Raw genomic sequence first — 23,061 nt, 5'->3', positions numbered from 1 at the left:
ATGGCTTATGCAAGAGATTTCACACTGATTTTTTTTAAGACAGGGTCTCTCTCTGTCACCCAGACTGGAGTGCAGTGGTACAATCACAGCTTACAGTAGCCTCAACCTCCTGGGCTCAAGGCATTCTCCCACCTCGACCTCCTCACTGCAGGTGTGCACCACCACGCCTGAATAATTTTTCATAGAGACAGGGTCTGAGTATGTTGCCCAGGCTGGTCTTTAACTCCTAGACTCAAGGGATCCTCCTGCCTTGGCCTCCCAAAGTGCTGAGATTACAGGTATGAGCTATAGTGCCTGGCTATAGGATTTAATCTGTATGAAATTCTGGAGCAGAAGAAACCAATCTTTCTTAGAAAAAAATCAAAACCCTGATTCCCGGAGCCCAGAAATTCTGATTTCATATTCAGATTGTATCTATTACAGAAGCGTATCATACACAAATATATCTACATAATACTTTTCACTTATCCTTCTTAAACATTTTCTGTAAAACATACCTAACCCCTTTTGGTTATAACTTTGGAATTCTGTTGTGTATGACTGCTTCAAGATCTTATTTTCTTCCTCCCACCTTTAATACTCCTTTTGGTACTGTCCAGTACTGCCTTGCCCAATGGAGAGATGGAATATTTGCTGGGTACTTCCATATTCCAGGCCCTGTATTAGGCACTTGGTATGTGTCCTCTTACTTTATCTTCACAATAGCCAGGTGGGGGATACATTATTTTTTTCCATTTTACAAATATGGAGACTAAGACTCAGATTGCTAATGTAACTTGACAAATGTAACATAGGTAATAAGAGGTGTTTTCTTCCTAGTGAATAAAGATAATTTTTTTTAGGCTAAGACCATTTTGAATTAATCTTATTTCAGAGTGAAAAAATTTCATTACATTAAAAATGGCAAACTCTTTCATTCTATAAGAGTAGAATTGGCGGTCACTTATTTGGTCTAGAATCTTAGGAAGCAAGATGCTTATAGTTTCAATAAAGAGCTAATTTTAATTAATTGATTGCTTCTCTGTTTTAATCCCACAGCTTATAAATGACATTAGCAGTGGCTTGGATTTATTGTTGTGGTCTCTGGAAGAAGTTGGACTTGGCATAACCTCCTGGGGTACAGATTTGTTAATCAGGTACTGAATTGCTGATGAAGGATGGAGCTGGTTGTGGAGGCAGTTGTCCTGGGATACTCTGCCTGGCCCATGAGAGCTGGCACAGAGGCAAGGCCGTGGCCTGTCTTTCCTCAGCCTATCCTCATTGTCCTGGACAGCTCCTTTCCTGGATCTGAGAAGAAGCTATGCAACACATAGAAAAAAAAAAGGAAGAGTCTTTTAAATACTTTTAATGAGTTATTTATTATAAAATAACACATGCCCACTGGAAAAATGAATTTCGTTTATCTCAGCAAAAAGTATAAAGGTATTTCCAGTTCTTAAGGAAGTTTTGAAAATCTTTTGTTATATGCATAGGTTGTTGAATCCACCACTGCTGATTTGAATTCCTGAAAGTGTTATCCATGAGATCAAAGGCAGAAACAGGTTTTGTTGTTGTTTGTTTGTTTGTTGAGATAAGGCCTTGCTCTGTTGCCCAGTCTGGAGTGCAGTGGCATAAGCATAGCTCACTGCAACCTCAAATTCCTGGGCTCAAGTGATCCTCCTATCTCAGCCTCCTGAGTAGTTGGGACTACAGGTGCAGGCTGCCATGCCTGGCTAATTTTTTTTTCTTTGAAGAGACGGGGGTCATCATGTTGTCCAAACTGATCTCAAATTCCCGCGTTCAAATGATCCTCCCACTGTGGCCTCCTAAAGCACTAGGATTACAGGCATGAGCCACTGCACCTGGGAGAAACATTTTTAAGGCTCTGAAATAATAGAAAATATTGCTAAATTGTCTTCCAGAAAGGTTGTATCAATGTATGCTTTTGTCAGCAGTGTGTAAAAACCATTTCACGATGTCCTCAGCAACACTGCACATATTAATTTTAAAGACAGAGCCAGATTGAGCCAGGTGCGGTGGCTCACGCCTGTAATCCCGGCACTTTGGGAGGCCGAGGCTGGTGGATTACGAGTTCAGGAGATCGAGACCATCCTGGCTAACACGGTGAAACCCCGTCTCTACTAAAAATACAAAAAATTAGCCCTGAGTCGTGGCGGGCGCCTGTAGTCCCAGCTACTCGGGAGGCTGAGGCAGGAGAATGGTGTGAACCCGGGAGGCGGAGCTTGCAGTGAGCCGAGATTGCGCCACTGCACTCCAGCCTGGGGGACAGAGCGAGACTCTGTCTCAAAAAAAAAAAAAGAGGACATAGCCAGATTGCAAAATAAAGGGTATTTAGGAGTAGCATGTTATTCATAATAAAGTCTTAATTTTTCTATATGCTTATTTTTGGCTTCTATGATTCTATTCACTTGAAACTGTAGAACATAGAGTTTTTATTTATTTATTTATTTCTGTAAGTAGCTTTACTTTGTAAGTCCTTTGCTCATTTTTTCTTACAGAGTTAATATTTTTCTAGTTGATTTTTATGAGTTCTTTATATATTAAACACACTAACTCCTTAAACACACACACATAGTAGAAGAAAAGGTAGAAAGTGGGTCATAGAGTGGACAAGGTATTGGTAGGAGAGTAGACAGCAACTTCAGTATGTATATTAGTTTTACACTCAGAGTTTTTTAATGCAGTTTTTAATTGGTGACTCAAAGATATGGGCTCTTTCATCTCACTTCCAGCACATGACTGCCAAGGTCATGGTGGAAGAAGGAGAAAGAACATGGATGGCCACTCAGGGCATGATGACCAGGCCTGGAAGTGGCATGCATCACTTCCAACTATTTTCTATGGACCAGAACCCAGTCAGATTGTCCAAGTCTAACTGCAGAAAAGGCTGAGCAACATGATCTTCTTGTATGCAAAAGAAGAAAAAAGGGGAACTGTGAGCATTTGGCCATTTCCTACCACCTTACCATGACAACCATCCTATGTTAACTTGTGAACCACCACAGCCCTAGCACTCTTAATCACGTTCCCTTTTTTTTGTTGTGTTTTTCTTTTGTGTAGCCCTTATTTTTGACATGCTGTATGTATTCATTTATTATTGCTAGTCCTCCCCCAAAGAACATAAGCTCAACCAGGTTAGGGATTTTTGTCTATTTTGTTCACTGACCCAGAAGAGCACCTGGCACTCCTATTAGTTAAGGAGATATTTCCTGATGATATTTCCTGGTACGAAGTCCTGGCATGTTTCTCACACTTTCTCTGTGGTGCATCCTTCCTCTATAGCCTGCTGCCAACACCTAGTCAGCCTTCAAAATTCAACCCAAGATCCTTATCCTGCATGAACTCCTCTATTACCCTCCCACCTCCTGCAGAATTGATTGTGACCTTCTTTGTGACATAGTCACACTTTGTACCAAACTACTCTGCATTTATCTCACTATTTTTCATTTGTGAACTTGTTTGTCTGCCCTATGCAACAGTAGCTCCTATGAGACCTGGCCACATTAAGGATGTCATAGTGTCAGTTGAATAGATGAATGAATGAATGAATGAACGAATGATTTGATAGGCCAACCAATTCTTTACAATTTGGACAGTTTTAAAAATGCCCCCAATGAAGTCGGAATATGGACTGCATATAAATGACACTGTTAAATTTGTTAGGTGTAATAATGACCTTAGAGTTATGTAATATATGTAACATTATATAATGTATATATACTGGGCTTATTTTGTTGTATAAAGTATATATTATATAACAGACATATATTATGTAATGTACTTTTATTGGAGATAAATCCTGAATTATAGGTGGACTGATAAAGTGCCTGAAATTTGCCATACAATAAAATAAAAGGAAATAAAATGGAATAAAAATAAAGTGTGTTGGAGGAGGAGGAGAAATGGAAGACAAGATGGACAAGAGACAAGTTGGAAAAATGTTAATAACTGTTCAAGTTTGGTAGTGAGTATTTGACATTCATTGTACTGTTCTCTCCACATTTGTATATGTTTAAAATTTCCTTAATAAAAATTAAAAACAAAGGAAGTGATATAGCCACTTATACTCTGCCAATATGAAGGAAAAAAGGTTTCCCAACCCTGTGACCTTGTTCCACACTTAGCCCAGTTCTGCATAAAATGCCTCTCGCCTCTCCTGGTGTTGACCATGACATCTCATACTATGTGTAGAGAAAGCCATGTGTATCCCCACCCTCTGTGGGAGGAAAACAGATGTATGTATTTGTAGCAAGAGGACACCTTGCCCCTGCATGTCATAGTGTATTCTTCTAGAGTGTTAGGTCTGGTGAGGGGTCTTAAAATCACTTAATTTAACTCCCTTATTTTACCAATGAAAGGAAACTATGAATCAAAGGTTGTGTGACTTTCCTAAGTTTACGCAGTGAAATAGCAGCAGCAAGATCAAAAATAAAATTCACCTCTGTAGACCCTTGAGCCAATCTCAGATATGTCTATGAAGAGTGGTTGCCTCACATACAACTATCAAATACTTTCCCTTCTCTACACCAATCAGAGAGGCAGGCCTAGAAAATAGATTAGTATGTTGTGGATAAATATTTGTAAAGAAGTGACTGTGGCTCAGACATACAATAAAACTTACTAAAACTCATCAGGTTAAAATTCAGAGTCCCCTGGAGACCCACGAGTTTATGGAGATGTAGCAGAAGGGTCATTTATGGAAGAGATGCATCCATCAAACAGCAGAATAAGCCTCCTTATTTCCTGCCTTCTATCTACGGGTCAGGTGAGACTGACTGAAGAGAGTCAGGTGTGTCTTAAGCAGGTCACTCAGCAATCTTCTACATAACCAGTGACCATTCATTGACTGTCAACCCTACAGCCACTTAGTGCTTGTCCTCTGGTGCACTCAACAACCCCACCAAGTAAGAATCATTATCCTTATTTGACAAAAACAAATAGGCTTAAAGAGAGTGATATAGTTTGGATTTCTGTCCCCACTCAAATCTCATGTCGAATTGTAATTGCCATTGTTGGAGGTGGGGCCTTGTATTAACCCGTTCTCATATTGCTATAAAGAACAGCCTGAGACTGGGTAATTTATAAAGAAAAAAAGTTTAATTGACTCACTGTTCCATAGGCTGTACATGAAGCATGGCTGGGGAGGCCTCAGAAAACTTACAGGGGCAGAGGAAGCAGGCACGTCTTACATAGCCAGAGAAGGAGGAAGAGGGAGCAGGGGGAGGTGCTACACACTTTAAAACAACCAGATCTCATGATAACTCCCTCACTATCAGGAAAACAGCAAGGGGGAAATCTGCCCCCATGATCCAATCACCTCCCACCAGGTCCCTCCACTGACACACGGGTTTACAATTTGACATGAGATTTGGGCAGGGACTCAAATCCAAACCATATCATTCCACCTCTGGCCCCTCCCAAATCTCATGTCCTTCTCACATTTCAAAATATAATCATGCCTTCCCAACAGTCCCCCAAAGTCTTAACTCATCCCAGCATTAACTCAAAAGTCCAAATTCAAAGTTTCATCTGAGGCAAGGAAAGTTCTTTCTGCCTATGAGCCTGTAAACTCAAAACCAGTTAGTTACTTCCAAGTTACAATGGGGGTACAAGCATTGGCTAAATACTCTCATTCCAAAAGGGAGAAATTGGCCAAAATAAAGGGGCTACAGGCTCCATGCAAGTTCAAAACCCAGCAGGGCAGTTATTACACCTTAAAGCTCCAAAATAATTTCCTTTGACTCTATATCTCACATCCAGGCCACACTGATGCAAGGGGTGGGCTCCGAAGGTCTTGAGCAGCTCTGGTCCTGTGGCTCTGTAGGGTACAGCCCTTGCAGCTGCTCTCAAGTCCTGGTGTTTAGTGCCTGCATCTTTTCCAGGTGCATGGTGCAAGCTGCTGATGGATCTACAATTCTGGGGTCTGGAGGATGGTGGCCCTCTTCTCACAGTTTTACTAGGCAGTGCCCCAGTGGGGTTTCTTTGTGTGGACTGCAACCCCACATTCACCCTCCCCGTTGCCCTAGTAGAGGTTCTCCACGAGGGTTCTGCCCCTCGTAGCAGAGTTCTTTCTGGATACACAGGTGTTTTCATACACCCTCTGAAATCTGGGCAGAGGCTCCCAAGCTTCAACTCTTACACTTAGAACACCCACAAGCTTAACACCACATGAAAGCTGCCAAGGCTTATGGCTTGCACCCTCTGAAGTGACAGGCTGAGCTTTTTAGCCACGGCTGGAGCTGGAGTGCCCATGATGCAGGGCACCAAGTCCCAAAGCTGCACAGAGCAGTGGGACCCGGGGCTTGGCCCCCAAAACCATTTCACTTTCCTAGGCCTCCAGGTCTACAATGGGAAGGGCTGCCTCAAAGTTGTATGAAATGCCTTTGGGGCATTTTCCCCATTAACTTGGCTATCAACATTTGGCTCCTCTTTACTCATGTAAATTTCTGCAGCCAGCTTGAATTACTCCGGAGAAAATGGGTTTTTCTTTTCTACCACATGGTCAGGCTGCAAATTTTTCCAACATTCACACTCTGCTTTCCTTTTAAATATATGTTCCAGTTTCAGATTATCTCTTTACTCATGCATAACAAAAGTGACCTTGGCTCCACTTCCCAATAAGTTCCTCATCTTCATCTGAGACCTCCTCAGCCTGGGCATCATTGTGCATATTATTGTCGGCACTTTGGTCATGACAATTTAACAAGTTTCTAGGAAGTTCCAAATTTTCTCTCATCTTCCTGTCTTCTTCTGAGGCCTCCAAACTGTTCCAACTTCTGCCCATTACACAGTTCCAAAGTTGCTTCCACATTTTCAGCTATCTTTATAGCAATGCCCCATTCCTAGGTACCAATTTTCTGTATTAGTTTATTCTCATATTGTTATAAAAAACTACCTGAGATTGGGCAATTTATAAAGAAAAGAGGTCTAATTGACTCACAGTTCCACAGGCTGTGCAGAAAGCATGGCTGGGGAGGCCTTGGAAAAACTTCAATTATGGCAAAAGATGAAGGGGAAGCAGGCACATCTTAGGTGGCCAGAGAAGAAAGAGAGGGAAGGGGGAGGTGCCACACACTTTTAAACAACCAGATCGTATGATAACTCATTCACTATCATGAGAACAGCAAGAGGGAAATCCACCCCCATGAATCAATGACCTCCCACCACGCCCCCTCCTCCAACACTGGGGATTTCAATTCAAAATGAGATTTGGAGAGAGATACAAATCCAAACCATATCAAGCCTGGTGGGAGGTGATTGGATCATGGGGATGGATCCTTCATGAGTGGTTTAGTACCCTCCCCTTAGTACTGTTCTCATGATGGTGAGTGATTTATCCTGAGATCTGGTTGTTTAAAAGTGTGCAGCACCTCCCTCCTCTCTCTCCTCCTCCTGCTCTGGACATGTGAACTGCTGGCTCCTTCTTTGCCGCCATCATGACTGTAAGCTTCCTGAGGCCTCCCCTGAAGCTGACACTGCCATGCCTCCTGTACAGCCTGCATATCTAATACCCAATTAAAGCTCTTTTCTTTATAAATCACCCAGTCTAAGATATTTCTTCATAGCAGTGTGAGAATGGACTAACACAGAGGGTAAGGGGCCTGCTGAAGGTCATGCACCTAATAAGTAATTAGTCCAGGGCTTGAATCATGTCTATCCCAACTTATAGCTTTCCCCTTTCCACTCTGCCAAACTGCATTTGAAGAATCCAAATGATTTTGGCCAAATTAAGATCACTCCCACAAGAGCCGGAGATGTCTGTAATCCTGAAACATGATGGACAGTGAAAGATGGAACGGTTACATTGTCCTGGATCTCCACATGAGGTGTAAGGCAGCAGCATTACACTCTACAGATTCAGGGGGCATTGCAGGCTACTACTGGAATAGGGCCATGGGGCAATAGGAAGTCTGTCCATGTTGGCTGACCCACTGATGGGTGATTCCACATTCACTTACCAAGTCACAGGGCCAAGCTGAGGCCTGAGCTTAAATTGCTTTAAATTCTCCTCTCCTGTATCTTTTGCTAGCTCAGCAAAAAGGAGCAGGAGAGGAGGAGGGGGGGTCAACAATTCATCACTCTTTCCTCCAAGAGTTACCTTCTGTCATGAGTGCCTCTACAGCTGTTCTCCTGACTAGCACCCTCTCTCCGCCCTCACCTAGCCAGGCATACAGAAAGACATACACCTGTCCTCTGCACACACACACACACACGTGCACTCACATACATGCACACACACAAACACACCTGCACACACACAAGCGCATGTACACACACTCACACACTCTGTGCTGCTCTTCCCAGACCCAACTTACAGACAAGGAACGTGAGCCCAAGCAGGTTTCTGGTTTACTCAGTGTCCTTGATGAGAGTCTCTATCACCATATTTGGCTTCTAGAAAACAATGATATAAAAATAAATAATTGAAAACACATGTCCACACAAAAACCTGCACACGAATGTTCATAGCAGCATGATTCATGATAGCACCAAGGTGGAAACAACTCATGTCCATTGACTGGTGAATGGCTCAACAAAACGTGACCTATCCATGCAATGGAATATAATTCAGCCTTAAAAAATAAGTGCTGATACATGCTGCGACACAGATAAACCTTAAAACTTTATGCTAACTAAAAGAAACCAGATACAAAAGGCCCCATATTTTATGACTCATTTATATGAAGGATCCTGAATTGGCAAATCCCTACAGATAAAAAGTAGATTGATGACTGCACAATGACGAGAATGGCGGGGGATTACTAGAGGGTATGAGGTTTCTTTTGGGCTGATGAAAATGTTCCAAAATGAATTGTGGGCAGGGCGCAGTGGCTCACACTTGTAATCCCAGCACTTTAGAAGGCTGAGATGGGTGGATTACTTGAGGTCAGGAGTTCGAGAGCAGCCCAACCAACATGGCAAAAACCCACCTCTACTAAAAATACAAAAATTCGCCAGGTTTGGTGGCATGCGCCTGTAATTCCAGGTACTCAGGAGACTGAGGCACGAGAATCGTTTGAACCCAGGAAGTGGAGGTTGCAGTGAGCCGAGATCACACCACTGCACTCCAGCCTGGGTGACAGAGTGAGACTCTGTCTCAAAATAAATAAAATAAAATTAAATTAAATTAAAAAAATAAAATTGTGGTAATAGTTGCACAAGTCCAAATATAGTAAAAAGCATTAAACTGTACACTTTAAATTAGTTAATTGTATTGTTTGTGAATTATATCTCAATCAAGCTGTTTCCCAAATAAATAAGCAAATGATGAAGCTTCCTAGACTCTCTAAGGATATTGCACAGCTACCTGCAGTCTCTCTAGCACAGCTCACTTTAGGAAGCCTTGAGACTTGTGGGAAGCTAAAACACAAAACTGGCCATCTTAAGCAATCTTGCTGAGTGGCCAAAACCCACAGAGAGCCCACCTCAGGGATCACACTGCACATAAGGCATGTCCAGCACAGGTGACAGGACTGACACTGTGGTGCCAGAAGGACCTGAGTTCCAGCCTGACTCTGCCACCTCTCAGCTGTGAGATGGGGGCAGGTCACCTAAGACAAACTCGCATCTGTAAAATTGAGGGGGTAATAATAGGGCTGTGGTGAGAATTAAACGAACTCTTCTACATGGCTCACACCAAAGAGTTAGTTGTTGCTATGATAAACATGACATCACCCAAAGAGAAGAGCTGGATAGTTAAAACTTGGCTGACAAGGGGCGAGTGCCTGTGTAGAACGTTCATCTCAGCGTTCCACACATCCACAAAGGGACATATTCAAGGGCACGTCCCAAAGTGAGCAGGCTCTGCCTCCTTCTTGTAGAAAACCTCAGAGCAGCAGAGTCCAGATGGCAAATCTGCACAAGATATCAGTGTGTTATGGAAAACCTAGTGCCAGTCTATCATTTCTGAGGCTTTGCCTAAGAGGTTTCCCCCATTATTTCATGTTGCAAATAATCAACAAGTATGCACTATTAATAATCAACAAGTATTAGTTTATTCTTGCATTGGTGCTGGCCTGAATTTCACACAGGTACAAAAGAAAGAAGTTCAGTCCTTGTTCTAAAGGAGTAACTCTTATAGCAATTCTTTGAGGTAGGCAGGACAGTTATTAGCATGTCCATTTTGCAGATAAAGAACCTGAGGCCCAGAGAGGCTAAATGCCCTGCCCAAGATCTTGTAGCTATTATAGTCACTGGCAACATTGAAATTCAAGCCTAAGGGGTCATGACCTCCAGCCTCATGTCTTTTTTATCTGGCTATGGATTCTCTAAGACATCAGGATTAAGGCTGTCTGAGGCACAAATCACCTCACAAATAATCAAGTGATGAGGACAACAAACTGAGACAGATGCTTTGTCGGGACCTACTATGTAATTTGCAGGGCCAAGTACAAAATAAAAATGCAGGCCCTTTGTTCAAATATCATGAAGATTGTGACAGCAGAGCATCAAAGCAAGCTCAGGGCCCTTCCATGTATGGGGACCTGTGTGGCTGTGACTGCACAAGTCACACATCCCTGGAGTCAGCCTGCCCCTTATCCCTGTCACACAAATGCCTAGCGCAAAGAAGATGCATCTGAGCAATTCTGCTCTCTGGCTCCAACAAAAGCAAACTCTCCTGGCAAGGCTGTGAGCTTGCCCTGACCCCACATCCAGCCACGTGCCAGGTGGACATGTATCTCTCCCGGCTGGCTGATCCAGCAGCCTTCAGCATTTCCGATTTTGCAGATTTGCAATCTCTTGGCTTACACTGCAGCCACCTTCCCTGCCTGAGAAACCCAGTCTTCCTTGCTAAGGTTCAGCTGCAGTGATACACAGGTCCATTAATGCTCCCCTGGGCACGGAGAAGTGGAAATGTCTACTTAAAGCTGGAGGGCTCTTTGGCCGGGGTGTCAGAGCTGCATTTTTCTTATGCAACTGTTTTCTCCCGGTTTGTAATAACTGTGACTGTCTTGCAGAAAACAACACACTACAGTGACAACCGGCTGATCTTTCTTTTTTTTTTTTTTTTTTGAGATGGAGTCTCGCCCCGTCGCCCAGGCTGGTGTGCCGTGGCACGATCTCGGTTCACTGCAACCTCCAGTTCCTGGGTTCAAGCTATTCTCCTGCCTCAGCCTCCTGAGTATCTGGGATTACAGGCATGCGCCACGATGCCCGGCTAATTTTTATGTTTCCAGTAGACATGGGGTTTCACCGTGTTGGCCAGACTGGTCTCAAACTCCTGATCTTATGATCTGCCCGCCTCAGTCTCTCAAAATGCTGGGATTACAGACATGGGCCACCACGCCCGGCCTGATCTTTCTTTCCATCTGTCATGTAAACCTTATTTTTCTGAATAACAGGGACACAAGAATGGCAGACAAGCCAGATGCTCCTAGAATTTCACGAGTAAGAAAGACAACTTGACATTAATTAGAAATAGAGGCAGACAGAAATGAGCCTTGGGTCTTCCAAAGATCCAATGAATTAGCTGTGAGATTTAAACAGAGCATATTCTCTCTCTCTTATGGCTTGAACTGTGTTTCCCCAAAAACATATCTTGAAATCCTACCCCCAGTACCTCAGAATGCGAGCTTATTTTGAAAGTATGGGGTTGTTGCAGATGTAATTAGTTAAATCAAGATGAGGTCATACTGGAGCTGTGTGGGACCTTAATCTAATATTTCTGGTGTCCTTATGAGATTAGACAAAGAGGCTGAGTGCAGTGGCTCATGCCTATAACCTCAGCACTTTGGGAGGCTGAGGTGGGAGGATTGCTTGAGTCCCGGAGTTTGAGACCCATCTGGGTAACATGGCAAAACCCCATCTCTATAAAAAGTACAAAAATTATCTGGGTGTGGTGGCGCATGCCTGTAGTCCCAACTACTTGGGAATCGAGATGAAAGGATCACTTGAGTGTGGGAGGTCGAGGCTGCAGTGAGCTATGATCATGCCATTGCACTCTAGCCCAGGCAACAGAGTGAGGCCCTATCTTAAAAAATAAATAAATAAATAAATAAAAAGTAAAGAGAGAGAGACACACCACGTGGCAATGGAGGCAGAGACTAGAGTGATGTTTCTAGAGGCCCAGGAACATTGAAGATGGCCAGCAGACCACCAGAAGCCAGGAGAGAGGCCTGGACTAGATTATCCCTCATGGCCTGTGGAAGAAACCTACTCTGCCATTACCGTGATCTCTGCCATTACCGTGATCTCAGGCTTCTGGCCTGCAGAGATGTGAGAGAACACATTTCAAGTGTTTTAAGCCACCCAGTGAGTGGCAGTCTGTTACAGCCACCCCAGGAAATGGGTGACCCCCTTTACCTGAAACATAACAAGGTTGGTCTGAGTGGTCTCTGGGTTCCCTTCCATCTACACATTTATGCTATTCTGACTTTGGTCACATAGCCACCTTGTCCCAACAGTCAAACTGCCACTCAAGTCAAACTTACCCAGTTCTTTCTACTGTTCCTTCATTCCGGGAGATTCTTAGGCCCCAGCAATTTGGGCCATCTCCCTCTGAAGCTCCCCAGTGAGTTGGCTGCCTCTTTCACACTCCACTGCACATCTGCTTTGTGTCTGGGCCTGTGCTGGGAAGTGGCGTAAAAATACAGACTGGGAACTTGACCTTGTGAAGGTTGAATTCTATTAGAGCCTGGCTTTGAACACATTATCCACTTGGCAGCCATCCCCCAGGATAGCTGCCAGTGAGCCCCACATCCTAGTGAGTTCATACTCCCATGGAGTTGCCTCCCCCATTGACACCGGGCTGGCCTATCAACCGATGAATGGATACATGAAGTGTGGCACATCCATACAATGGAATAGCACTCAGCTACAAAAAGGAACAAAATTCTGACACATGCAACAACATAGATGAACTTGCAAAACATGATAATAAGTCAAATAAGACAGGGACAAAAGGGCAAATACTACAGGATTCCACCTCCATGAGGTACCTAGAATAGGCAGGGTTCACGAGATGAGAAGCAGGCCATAAGTTACCAGAGTTGGGGAAGTGAGGGAGACGGGAGTTATTGCTTAATGGGTACAGAGTTTCTGTATGAAATGACAGAAAAGTTTTGGAAGTAGATGTGTGATGGTTGTACATTGTGAATATAATTAATGCCACTGAATTGCACATCTAAAATGATTAATATGGTATAATTTGCTGTATATATTGTACCACAATAAAATAAACATAAGTTCTAGACCAGCCTGGGCAATATAGTGAGACCTCATATCTAATTTTTTTTTAGTTAGCGGGGCATGGTGGCACACACCTGTGGTCCTAGCTACTCAGGAGGCTGAGGTAGGAGGAACACTTGAGCCTGGGAGTTTGACGCTGCAGTGAGCCGTGAGTGTGCCATTGCACTCCAGCCTAGGTGACAGAGCAAGATCCTGTCTCAAAAGAAGGAAAAAAAGAAATACAGGCAGAGAGGGGAATACCAGCACTGTAAAAGAGGTTAAAATGCTTACCTCTGAAGAGTGGGAATCAGGTGCAAAGGTATAAGGCAGAGATGGCTGTTTTTGTTAGAAGTGTAGTTAACTATTTGACTTTATAACTCTGCACATACGTCAGTCCAATAAAACAAAGAGGGAAAGGCTATATGTCATATCTGATACATTAACAAGCATTAAAAAAATTAGCATAAAATTGCGGTGAAACTAGAGCACTAAAATCCTGTTAACAATATAAATGAGTACAAGCCTGGTGGTTTTATTTCCAGAACACTCCAAGAGCCATTGAAATGCTGGGACCTTTTGACCAATTCTCTCACTCTAAAGCAAGGATCTGTGTGGGAAAACTATGACCCACAGACCAAATCCAGCCTACCACCTATTTTTGTATGGTACATAAGCAGGAATGATTTTTACGATCTTTTAATTGTTTAAAAAAAACCCAAAAGAGTAGCATTCCGTGATGCATAAAAAATGATAAGGTATTCAAAGTTTGGTGTCCATAAATAAAACTGTGTTCTCACACAGCCTGGCCCATGCATTTGTGGAGGGCCTATAGCTGTTTTGTGCTATAAGGACATCTGCAATAGAGACCACATGGCCCATAAAGCTAAAAATACTATTTGGTCCTTTGCACAAAAAGCCTACTCATCCAGGTACAGAGGGAGGCAGCACAGTCAGGGAGGGAAGCTGAAAGCCTGGACCCTCTGATGCCTGGTTATGTGACCCCGAGCATAACTTGTTTGTGACTTGGTTTTCTCATCTGTAAAATAAAGATATTATTAGTACCAACCTTCTAGGGTTGTTGTGAAGATTCAGTGAATGAGCCAGCCTAAATCAGAAGAGCATCTGCACTTGGTGCAAGTGAACTGCCATTGCTTCTCCAGAGAAATCATCAGGAAGCAACAGGATGTGCATAAAGGTTTGCACAGCTAGTGCTACCTAAGGCATGCTCCTGACACCTGGGCATCCCCACCCACAGCTCAGGCCACAGCACAGACCCATGGCCAGACCATGAATTCAAATATTTCTGCGATGCTGTGACACAGGCATCCCTAAAAATTATTAGGCTCTGCAAAATCATGTGATATGACCCGCAGGGCTATGAGAAAAATAGAGTTAGGGGCTTCATCAGCAACACATTTTTAAAAAAAGATTAGAACCTAATAAAAATGATAGCACAGGTTTACAGGTTAAATGTTTAAGAAATACGTAAATACTAAAATAAATATGGTATTTACCTTTAAAAAGACGAGGCTTGTTTGAGAAAGTGGGCATTGGGGTTGTAAGCTGGTAATCCGGGATTAGGAGGAACATTCTAGCCCCAGAGGTTAGTGGATGTAACTCCTAACACACCCTGTGAATGGAGGGACAGAAGATGCTAGGATTTGCATGGGTGCAGTATGTATTCATAGGGTATGTGCACGGATGTGGTTGTGTATCCCTTGGGTGTGCGCACAAGTGGGTTTGTGTATCCCTAGGGCGTTTGCACAGTGGAGTTGTGTATTTTTAGGATGTGTGCAGAAGTGGGGTTGTGTATCCTTAGGGTTCGTGCACTGGTGTAGTTGTGTATCCCTAGGGTTTGTGCACTGGTGTGATTGTGTATCCCTAGGGTTTGTCCACTGGTGTGGTTGTGTATCCCTAGGTTTTGTGTACAGGTGTGGTGTGTAACCCTAGGGTGTGTGCAGAAGTGGGGTTGTGTATCACTGGGCTGTATGCACTGGTGTGGTTGTGTATCCCTAGGGTGTGTGCACTGTTGGGGTTGTGTACCCCTAGGGTGTGCACTTGTGTTTGTGTATTCCTAGGCTCAGGTCGGCCAGGCGCTTTTCTCTGTATTAACCTGGTATTTCTGAGGACAAAATCATGCAGAGCAAATGTGAACTTTGAAACTCATGTCATGTTCAATTGTTCCCTAATCTAGCAATTGTATTGGAGAAAACTCATGTTTTAAATCAAGCCATAAAGCAGAGCTGAATATATCACATCCCTTGAGGACTCTGAACATGGTTGGAGTAGGGGAACTTTCAAGGAGGTGGCATTGCAGACAGGGACTCAGAGCCTTGACTCATTCCCTGATGTGGACGTCAGTGGTGGCACCAGAAAGGGTTCTGCAAGGCCACGTGGCAGCAGCTCCTTGCAGCTGCCTCACTCTCCGGGCTGTATACTCAGTGCTGAGCCCGATGGCCCATACCAGGTATACAACATGATGTGTACGAAGCCCTTCCACACACACACAGGGCACCTCACAACAGGCTCACAGGGGCAAAGTGCAGGGATCATGAATCCATATTTGACAGGGATGGAGAATGGGGATCAGATAAGTTGATGACTTGCCCAAAGACACAGAGCCTGAAAATGGAGGTGGGCGCTTCCACATCCCAGGCCCTGGCTGACCTGCCATCTGTCCTTTGACACTGTACGTCTTGGGATCCCCTAGCCAAACACTGGGGTAAACTCCAGGGGTCACGCTCAAGGCCACACGTCCAGAGGCATAGTCTACAAGAGGAGGGGTGCAGGACACCTGGGCGACATAAAGGCACCTGCCTCAGATGGGCTCACCTCCAATCCTGACACCTATTTCTCCTTTAAATGGAAAGGACAAGCCTCCATCTGCACTGCATCTTTAACAATCACAGCCAGCAAGGATGAGGAATGTTCCAGCACAGTCAGAACATGAACTTCTTTGTAGCAGGATTGCAGCATTTATTTCAATCCTGAGTCAGAAGGCCGAGCAAGTAGCTTGCATGATGTTTCAGGAGCTTAACATCGACTGTGGCAGGCAGTTGCTTCTCTGATTAAAACAGGCCTGACACCCTACCCCTGCCACATCTGTCCTCAACTCTCAGGATGCACCTGGGCCCTCAGGCTGGGTGTGCTCAGGGCCTCCGCGTGCCTAGGGAAGCCATGACACTTACGTGTGGTCATGTCAGTGTTTGGCAGGTGCGCCACCTGCTCACATTTGCCCAGCAACTTCCCCTAACCCAACAGAAACAAGGCATGGCCTGAAGAAAGCAGACCTGAAATAAGACCCCCCAACAGCTATTTCTCCTTCAGCGCTCTCCAGGCTGTATAGGACCAGTCAGTCACTGCACAACCCCACATGGCCTTGGGGAACAAGCTTACCCTGCTGGAATATGCTTTAAAGATGTGGCCATGTAACACTCATCTGGGCCAGTGGGCCTTCACACACACACACACACACACACACACACACACACACACACACACACACACACACACCCCTGGGAAGCAAAAACTGCTTTGTTCAGGAAAGGCAAAAATGCATTTATAACCCAATTCCAATGTCAGCTACTTGGAGCATAAAATGAGGTCACATTCTCTAGCATTTGGGATTACATCATCTCTTTCAAGGGAATCTCGGGGTCCTCCTTCTAAATAACTCCAAGAGCCCCCCAGCCCAATGGATGCTTTCCAAGTCCAAAAGGTCAAGTCCTAGTCACAGCACCTCATCTGAGGGTCTGTTGCAGTGGCCACTGTCACAGGGTGTCTCTGTAAGGAAAGGTGGCCTACCGGCCTGACATGGTCCCCCAAACTCATGGCCAGGCAGCCTGCAGGCCTCAGCTGCCAGGCCAGGAGCTGGCCTGTCTTATATTCCCAGCTCCTCTCTGCCTCAGCTGGACCCACAACATCTAACCCCCTGGTGATGGGGCACGGCATGCTGACCACTCTTCTTAGGGACGCCCAGTCACAGCCCCATGCTGTGTTCAGAAACCCACATTCAAGATCTCTAGCCAGGCTGGGGCGGGAGCCAGGCTCCCGTCTCAGTTTCAAAGCCCTTCCCTCAGTGCCCACCTTGTTTCTCCTGTGCAGAGATCAGTGATGCTTCTTTCAGGGGAAACCACAGTCATTCCATATCAAGTTTGAAAGCATGTAAATTACAGCTGTGTAGTGGAGGGCACATTTTCTTGTGAATCTTTGTAATTGCTATGAGAATCTTGCTCCCGGCTGCACTCCATCTGATGCCTGTTGGAGGTGTGCACTGCATCAAGTAAGGCCAAGATCCTGCCCACCTGTGATCCAAAAAATATTTGCAAGGAGAAGGGAGATCTGGATCAGCCTGCATGATGGCTTCCTGAGCCTCAGAGGCAGAAGTCAGTGGTGCAAACTCCAGGGCCAAGTTACTGCAGTGTGCATATATTTGCACACAGGTATGTGCCAACTCATGCATTTGTGCATACACACAGATGTGCACGTAGGCTGTGTGCATACATATGTTCACACTTAACATATAGCGTGTACAATATACTGCTCTGTATGTGTATGTATATGTATTATATCTATTTTAGACATATATACTGGTTTGTATGTATGTGTATATATACTAGTATATGTGTGTATACTATCATGCATGTATGTGTGTATACATATACAGGTATGTATGCACGTATATAGAGAGAGATATATGTGTGTTATGTGTGTACATATATCCATTTACTAGTATGTATGGTGTATGTGTGTGTACTGGTATGGATATGTGTGTGTGCACACACACATTTGCTGGTATGTATGCCTGTTTGTGCTTATAATGCACAGGCAGAATGTTTCTAGTGGACCACACAGCCTCTAGTTCTCAGTCCCCAGCCCTCCCTTTTGCCCTACACGCAAGGCCTTTCTGAGCTTCATTTACATGTAAGCATGCAAGTTCTGACCCAGCAGCACCACTTCCTGGCCACCTGGCAGAGCCTAGCCAGGAGCACTCAGAGGTCAAGATGAATCTGACCCATATCAGGGATGGGACGCTGAATGAAGTCCCCAGGGTCACAGGGTTCTCAGACATCCCCAGCAGTTCATTTACAACTCCGTAGATGGACTCCAAAGAACTAGGACCCTTAATAAGTCAAGGAGTCCTCAACCCTACAGCGGGGAAGGCTCAACCCCAAAGGCGTACAAGTCTGAGTGACCTCAGGAAGGGCGTCTGGCTTTGTACTTCTGCAGTTTTCATGGGAGGCTGGCCCCAATCCCATGCTCACCCCCCATATCCAACCTCGTGGCCAGGCGGCGCCTCTAAAGAGGGTGATGACCCAGGATGAGGGAGAGTGTCTCTTGCAAGGTGGAGAGAGAGGGTGGTGGGAGCAGTAAGCCAAGGGAGGGGAGGCTCCAGACGGTCCAGAGATGTGGTGCTCAGGACTCAGGAGAGACAGCTGGCGGCAGGAGAACCTGGAGTTGAAGAGAGTTTTCAAATAATCAAGCCAGAGAACCAGGCTGTGTAAAGACCAAGGACCCTCCAGATCCTCAGGGTGATCGGCTGGGGCAGGGGTGGGCTGATCTTGGGGGTCAGAGCTGGAAAGGAGCTGGAGCACCCTGGTTCCACCAACCTCTCTAAGCAGGAGGCTCTTCCAAGGCAGCAGCCCCGCAGGGAGTCAGACAGTGGGCCCACACCTTGCAGAGCTGCTTGTTTCCAACATGGGCTCTCTGCCTGTTACGAAGTCCTTCCTTGCCTAAAGCTGGATCTGCTTTCTCAGGATGTCCTCCCACTGGTCCTCAATCTGCCTTTGGGATCATCCTGGATAAGCCCACTCCTCTCCCAGAAGACAAACTCTGTCTATCTGAACACAGCCTTCTTGTCCTTGAAGGTCAGTTCAGCCTCGCATATTTTCCACCTCTCCCTCAAATTCTTCCCTCCTGGCTAGGTGTCCCAAGACTTGGATCTTGTCACTGCCATACTGCGGGTCTCAGATCCCTAATCTGTAAAATAAAGAGGTTAGACTGGGTGGTTTTGAAAAGCTTTGACATCCATAGTACTCTGAAAGTGCGAAAGTCATCTAGCAGACAGATTGGTAACATAAAGGGGGCTTGATCAAATAAGTAAATGTTTGATCTAAATATATGAATGTATAGCTACATATAGAAATATACCTGTAAATATTATGTCTACATATACATACACATAAATGTGTGTTTATCTATACTTACACAGACATACATTTCACTGAGGGGGTCTGGAAACAGCACCTCCCCCAGTAGCAATGAGCACAGCTCACACTCACATATTCTATTCTCCATGAAAGAAACTGGGGCTCCTTGAAGAAATGGCTGACTCCAGGGATGCGATAGTGAAAGCACAAGTTGAACTCAGGGTTTTTTGTTTGTTTGTTTTGTTTTTGTTTTTGTTTATTTGAGACAGGGTCCTGCTCTGTTACCAAAGCTGGAGTGCAGTGGTGCAATCATAGCTCACTGCAGCCTGAATTATTGGGCTCAAGTGATTCTCCCACCTCAGCATCCTGAGTAGCCAGGACTGCAGGTGCATGCCCCCATGTCTGCCCATTTTTGTTGTTGTTGTTGTTGTTGTAAAGACAAGGTCTTGTTATGTTGCCCAGGCTGGTCTTGAAATCTTGGCCTCACATCTCAGCCTCCCAGAGTGTTGGGATTATAGCCATGAGCTACCATACCTGGCCTGAACCCAGGATATCAAGATACCTTGCTGAACCAGAAAGCAAGTGAACACTTAAAGAACAAGGGAGCATGTCAGAAGGACATAGAAGCCAGCTTCAAGGGACTCCCTGTTTGCCAAATCTGAGACAATTTGAGCATCAAATAAATCATGAGAGTAATGGATTAGAACCTATTGACTTAAATAAGAAACCACAAGTCTACAGTGAAAAAAATGAATAAACTGAATGTCTGATGAGAAATGGAATATTCAGTCTCAATATACCACCTCACAAAATATTTATTTATTACAAGAGGAAAAGAGTAACTTTACAGAGAACTCTGGAAGACACCACTTTAAACGAATAATCAAAGTGAACATTAGCATTCAAGATGAGCCTTGGCATCACAGCAAGACCCCACCTCTAAAAAAAATAGCTGGGTGTGATAGTGGTGCATCTGTGGTCCCAGCTCCTCAGGAGGCTGTGGCAGGAGGATCACTTGAGCCCAGGAGGTTAAGGCCGCAGTGAGCCATGATTGTGCCACTACATTCTAGCTTAGGTGACAGAGCGAGATTCTGTCTCAAAAAAAAAAAAAAAGAAAAAACAGAAAGAAAAAAAAAGAATGCTTACACAGGGCAAACTGAAATCAAGTGCAGTGGAATAACGCTTCTGCCATGTTCCTGCCATCAAATCCCAAGGGATCAGCACACACTCAAGTGAAGGGACAGTCCACAAGATAACCAGTCCTTCATCTTTGAAAGTGTCAAGGTTATGAGACTCAAGTAAAGACTGAGCACAGCCTCAGACTGGAGACTAAGAGATGTGACAACAAAATGCTGCATGCCAACTTGAACTGGATGCACTTACTGTGAAGAAATCACTGGGCTTGGGGAGACTGAGCGGCAGTGATGCACCATGTGACCTTCTCAGTTGTGACTGAAGGTTGTTCGGACTGACCATGTAGGAGAAGATCCTTATTTGCAGGAAATACACAGGAGTGTTGGGGGTGATGACGCATTGGAGAGTAAGTGTTGATAACTCGCCCTCAGATGGTTCAGAAAACATACATTATTTGTGCTGCAATTGAAGCTTTTCTGTAAGTTTGAGATCGTTTTAAATTTAAAGAAAATTATACACACACCCACAAAACTATCTCTTGTAAATGCCTGAGAAGATCAGGACTTTCTTCCTGCAATGAGCAATTCTAACCAGGAAAAGCTCTCTAATCTGTGTGTACCTGTCTTCAGAATCTGGCCCACAGGGTGTGCTTCCCTGACCCTGCCCCATCTTCCCTGAAATTCTAACAGCATGGATGTCAGGGAAACAGGATATCAGCACACCTGGCTGCCCAGCCCTAAAGAGCACCAGTACATAGAGTCATGGCTGGCTTTTACTGAGCCCTTATTGTATGGATGGGGTTTGATGTCAAGCTGACCAGGCATTGGATCTTGGTTCACATTCGCTGTATGATCCTGGACAAGTCACTTCACCTCTCTGAGTCTCTGCTGTCTGCTGGGTAAATTAAAGACAATAGCCTCTGTCTTGCCAGGTGGTGGTGCGGATTAGAGAGAATTGTGCAGGATGTCAGGTACAGTGATAGTTTCTAGACTTTAGGCCTTTGGGAAGTCAGCCTCATAATCTTTTGGGAATCTCCTTATCAAATACAGATTCCTGCAACCTACTCCCAGAGTGATCCCAGCTCACCTGTCCTGTTTCAGCTCCAGCTGATTCACTTCCCCCGCCTCAGGCTTAGACCAAACACTTCACAATTTCCCACATGCACCATAGCACCTCTTGCTCCCATGCCTTTGTACACACAGTTCACCCATCCGGAATGCCCTTCCCCCTTTGATTGGAAAACTCCTACTCCTCCTTCAAAACCCAGGCGAAATGTCTCCTGATTTTTGAAGCCTTTTCTGATCACGCCCCACCTCCCAATTCCCAGTGCTCTCTTCTTTGACCAGTTGTTATGACATTAATAAGTATAATTACCTCTCATTTAGTGAATCTATTATATACCTGCAATTTCACACGCGGTATGTATTTTAAGCCAAGGACTAATCATTAGCCCTGTTTTCCTGTTTGCTCATGAAAAAGCTGAGCCTCTGAGAGTTTAAGTAGCTTGCCCTGGGTTTCCTAGCTGATACGGGACAGAGCCAGAACCCCAGGCCGGAGTCTCTAGCTCTGGCTGTTACGGTTTTGGCTCTGCCTCCCGCCCAGCGCACGCGCTCTCAGATGCAGGGTTCCCATCAGCCAGCACAGTCCCTGAAGCACAAACATCAGGGAGCAGTGTCAGTCGGTTCCTATCTCCCAGGTCCACACTTCCTTCAGTCACACCAGGCTCTCTCTGGGCAGGCTGAGAGAATGGAGCTAGGAGCCTCTGAGGCTGGTAAGCCAGGTGCCTTTGGGAAGTGGCCAGGACTGAGAGTGGGTTAACCAAGCAGGACCTCTCTTAAGGAGGGTATTGGCCTTCCACGGGATGCAGCACTGAGGTCTGCCACCAGGGGGCGCTGCTGCTTTATTTCAGGAGCTGCCTCTGCCCGGCGAAGGACGGGAGCGTTTTCCACTGTGTGTGTCTGGGGCTGTGATTGTCAGAATCCTCCAACTTTAGAATTCACAGACTGAAGAATTCATGCTCACATGACTGAACAAAAATATGTGGAGCATGAAATTTTTACTCAAGAAGTAGGGAACCTCTCTCTCCCTTGAGGAAAAGCGTCCTCCCTACTTTCCTGGGAGTTAACTTGCTGAGGCTCGCAGGAGATTCCACGCAGCTATGCGCTCTGCTCTCTTGTTAGAAAAAAGATGCCAAGATTGTAGAATTTGACCACAAACAACCGAGCTCCACAACGGAGTGTCGCTAATGTGCCAGGCCCTGTGCTGGGGGGTGCAAAAAACCCCAGTGTTTAGATTTGCAGTGGTAACTTCAGGGTCCCTTCAGCAAACTTTAGCTACAGTTGTTAAATCTTGCTGACTGATATATTCTACAACTATAGCTCCATTTTTCCAGCCCAAATTTAGTACATATGAAGTGACAAAGCATCCCAGAGGCAAACTGCTTTCTAGGAAGTGTAGCTCAGGCACCTAAATGTTGGCATTTTAGGGATAACGGCTTATGGGACCTATGAGCAGAGCATTTGAAAATAGACCTGTCTGAAAAGCCCAGGTCAGAGGCTGCCAAGAGCAGAGCAGGGCAGGCCCCAGACCACATGGCTCTGGGGTCTTTTAC

At 45.0% G+C, this 23,061-nt stretch overlaps 1 long non-coding RNA gene across 1 annotated transcript, besides 1 other annotated feature; it reads right to left on the bottom strand.

The window, feature by feature from the left end:
- Positions 1 to 982: 982 nt before the first annotated feature.
- LOC101929488 (uncharacterized) lies at positions 983 to 22,053 on the bottom strand. The gene is made up of 9 exons (NR_125818.1): positions 21,825 to 22,053; positions 20,700 to 20,876; positions 18,777 to 19,146; positions 18,432 to 18,618; positions 17,254 to 17,471; positions 13,263 to 13,380; positions 12,432 to 12,569; positions 8,316 to 8,394; positions 983 to 1,298 (listed from the first exon to the last, which is right to left on the bottom strand). It is a non-coding gene; the product is annotated as an uncharacterized LOC101929488 (long non-coding RNA).
- Positions 22,236 to 22,530: a silencer, noted in NCBI's record as "tiled region #3559; HepG2 Repressive DNase matched - State 12:CtcfO, and K562 Repressive DNase unmatched - State 12:CtcfO". NCBI's record gives its function as "represses a minimal TATA promoter and a strong SV40 promoter by Sharpr-MPRA in HepG2 and K562 cells {active_cell/tissue: HepG2 | K562}" and the evidence as "EXISTENCE:reporter gene assay evidence [ECO:0000049][PMID:27701403]".

Source organism: Homo sapiens, chromosome 8 (assembly GCF_000001405.40).
Source record: "Homo sapiens chromosome 8, GRCh38.p14 Primary Assembly".
Classification (NCBI taxonomy): domain Eukaryota; kingdom Metazoa; phylum Chordata; class Mammalia; order Primates; family Hominidae; genus Homo; species Homo sapiens.
The sequence above is the reverse complement of the archived record's forward strand: the minus strand, read 5'-3'. Positions and strand labels throughout refer to the sequence as shown.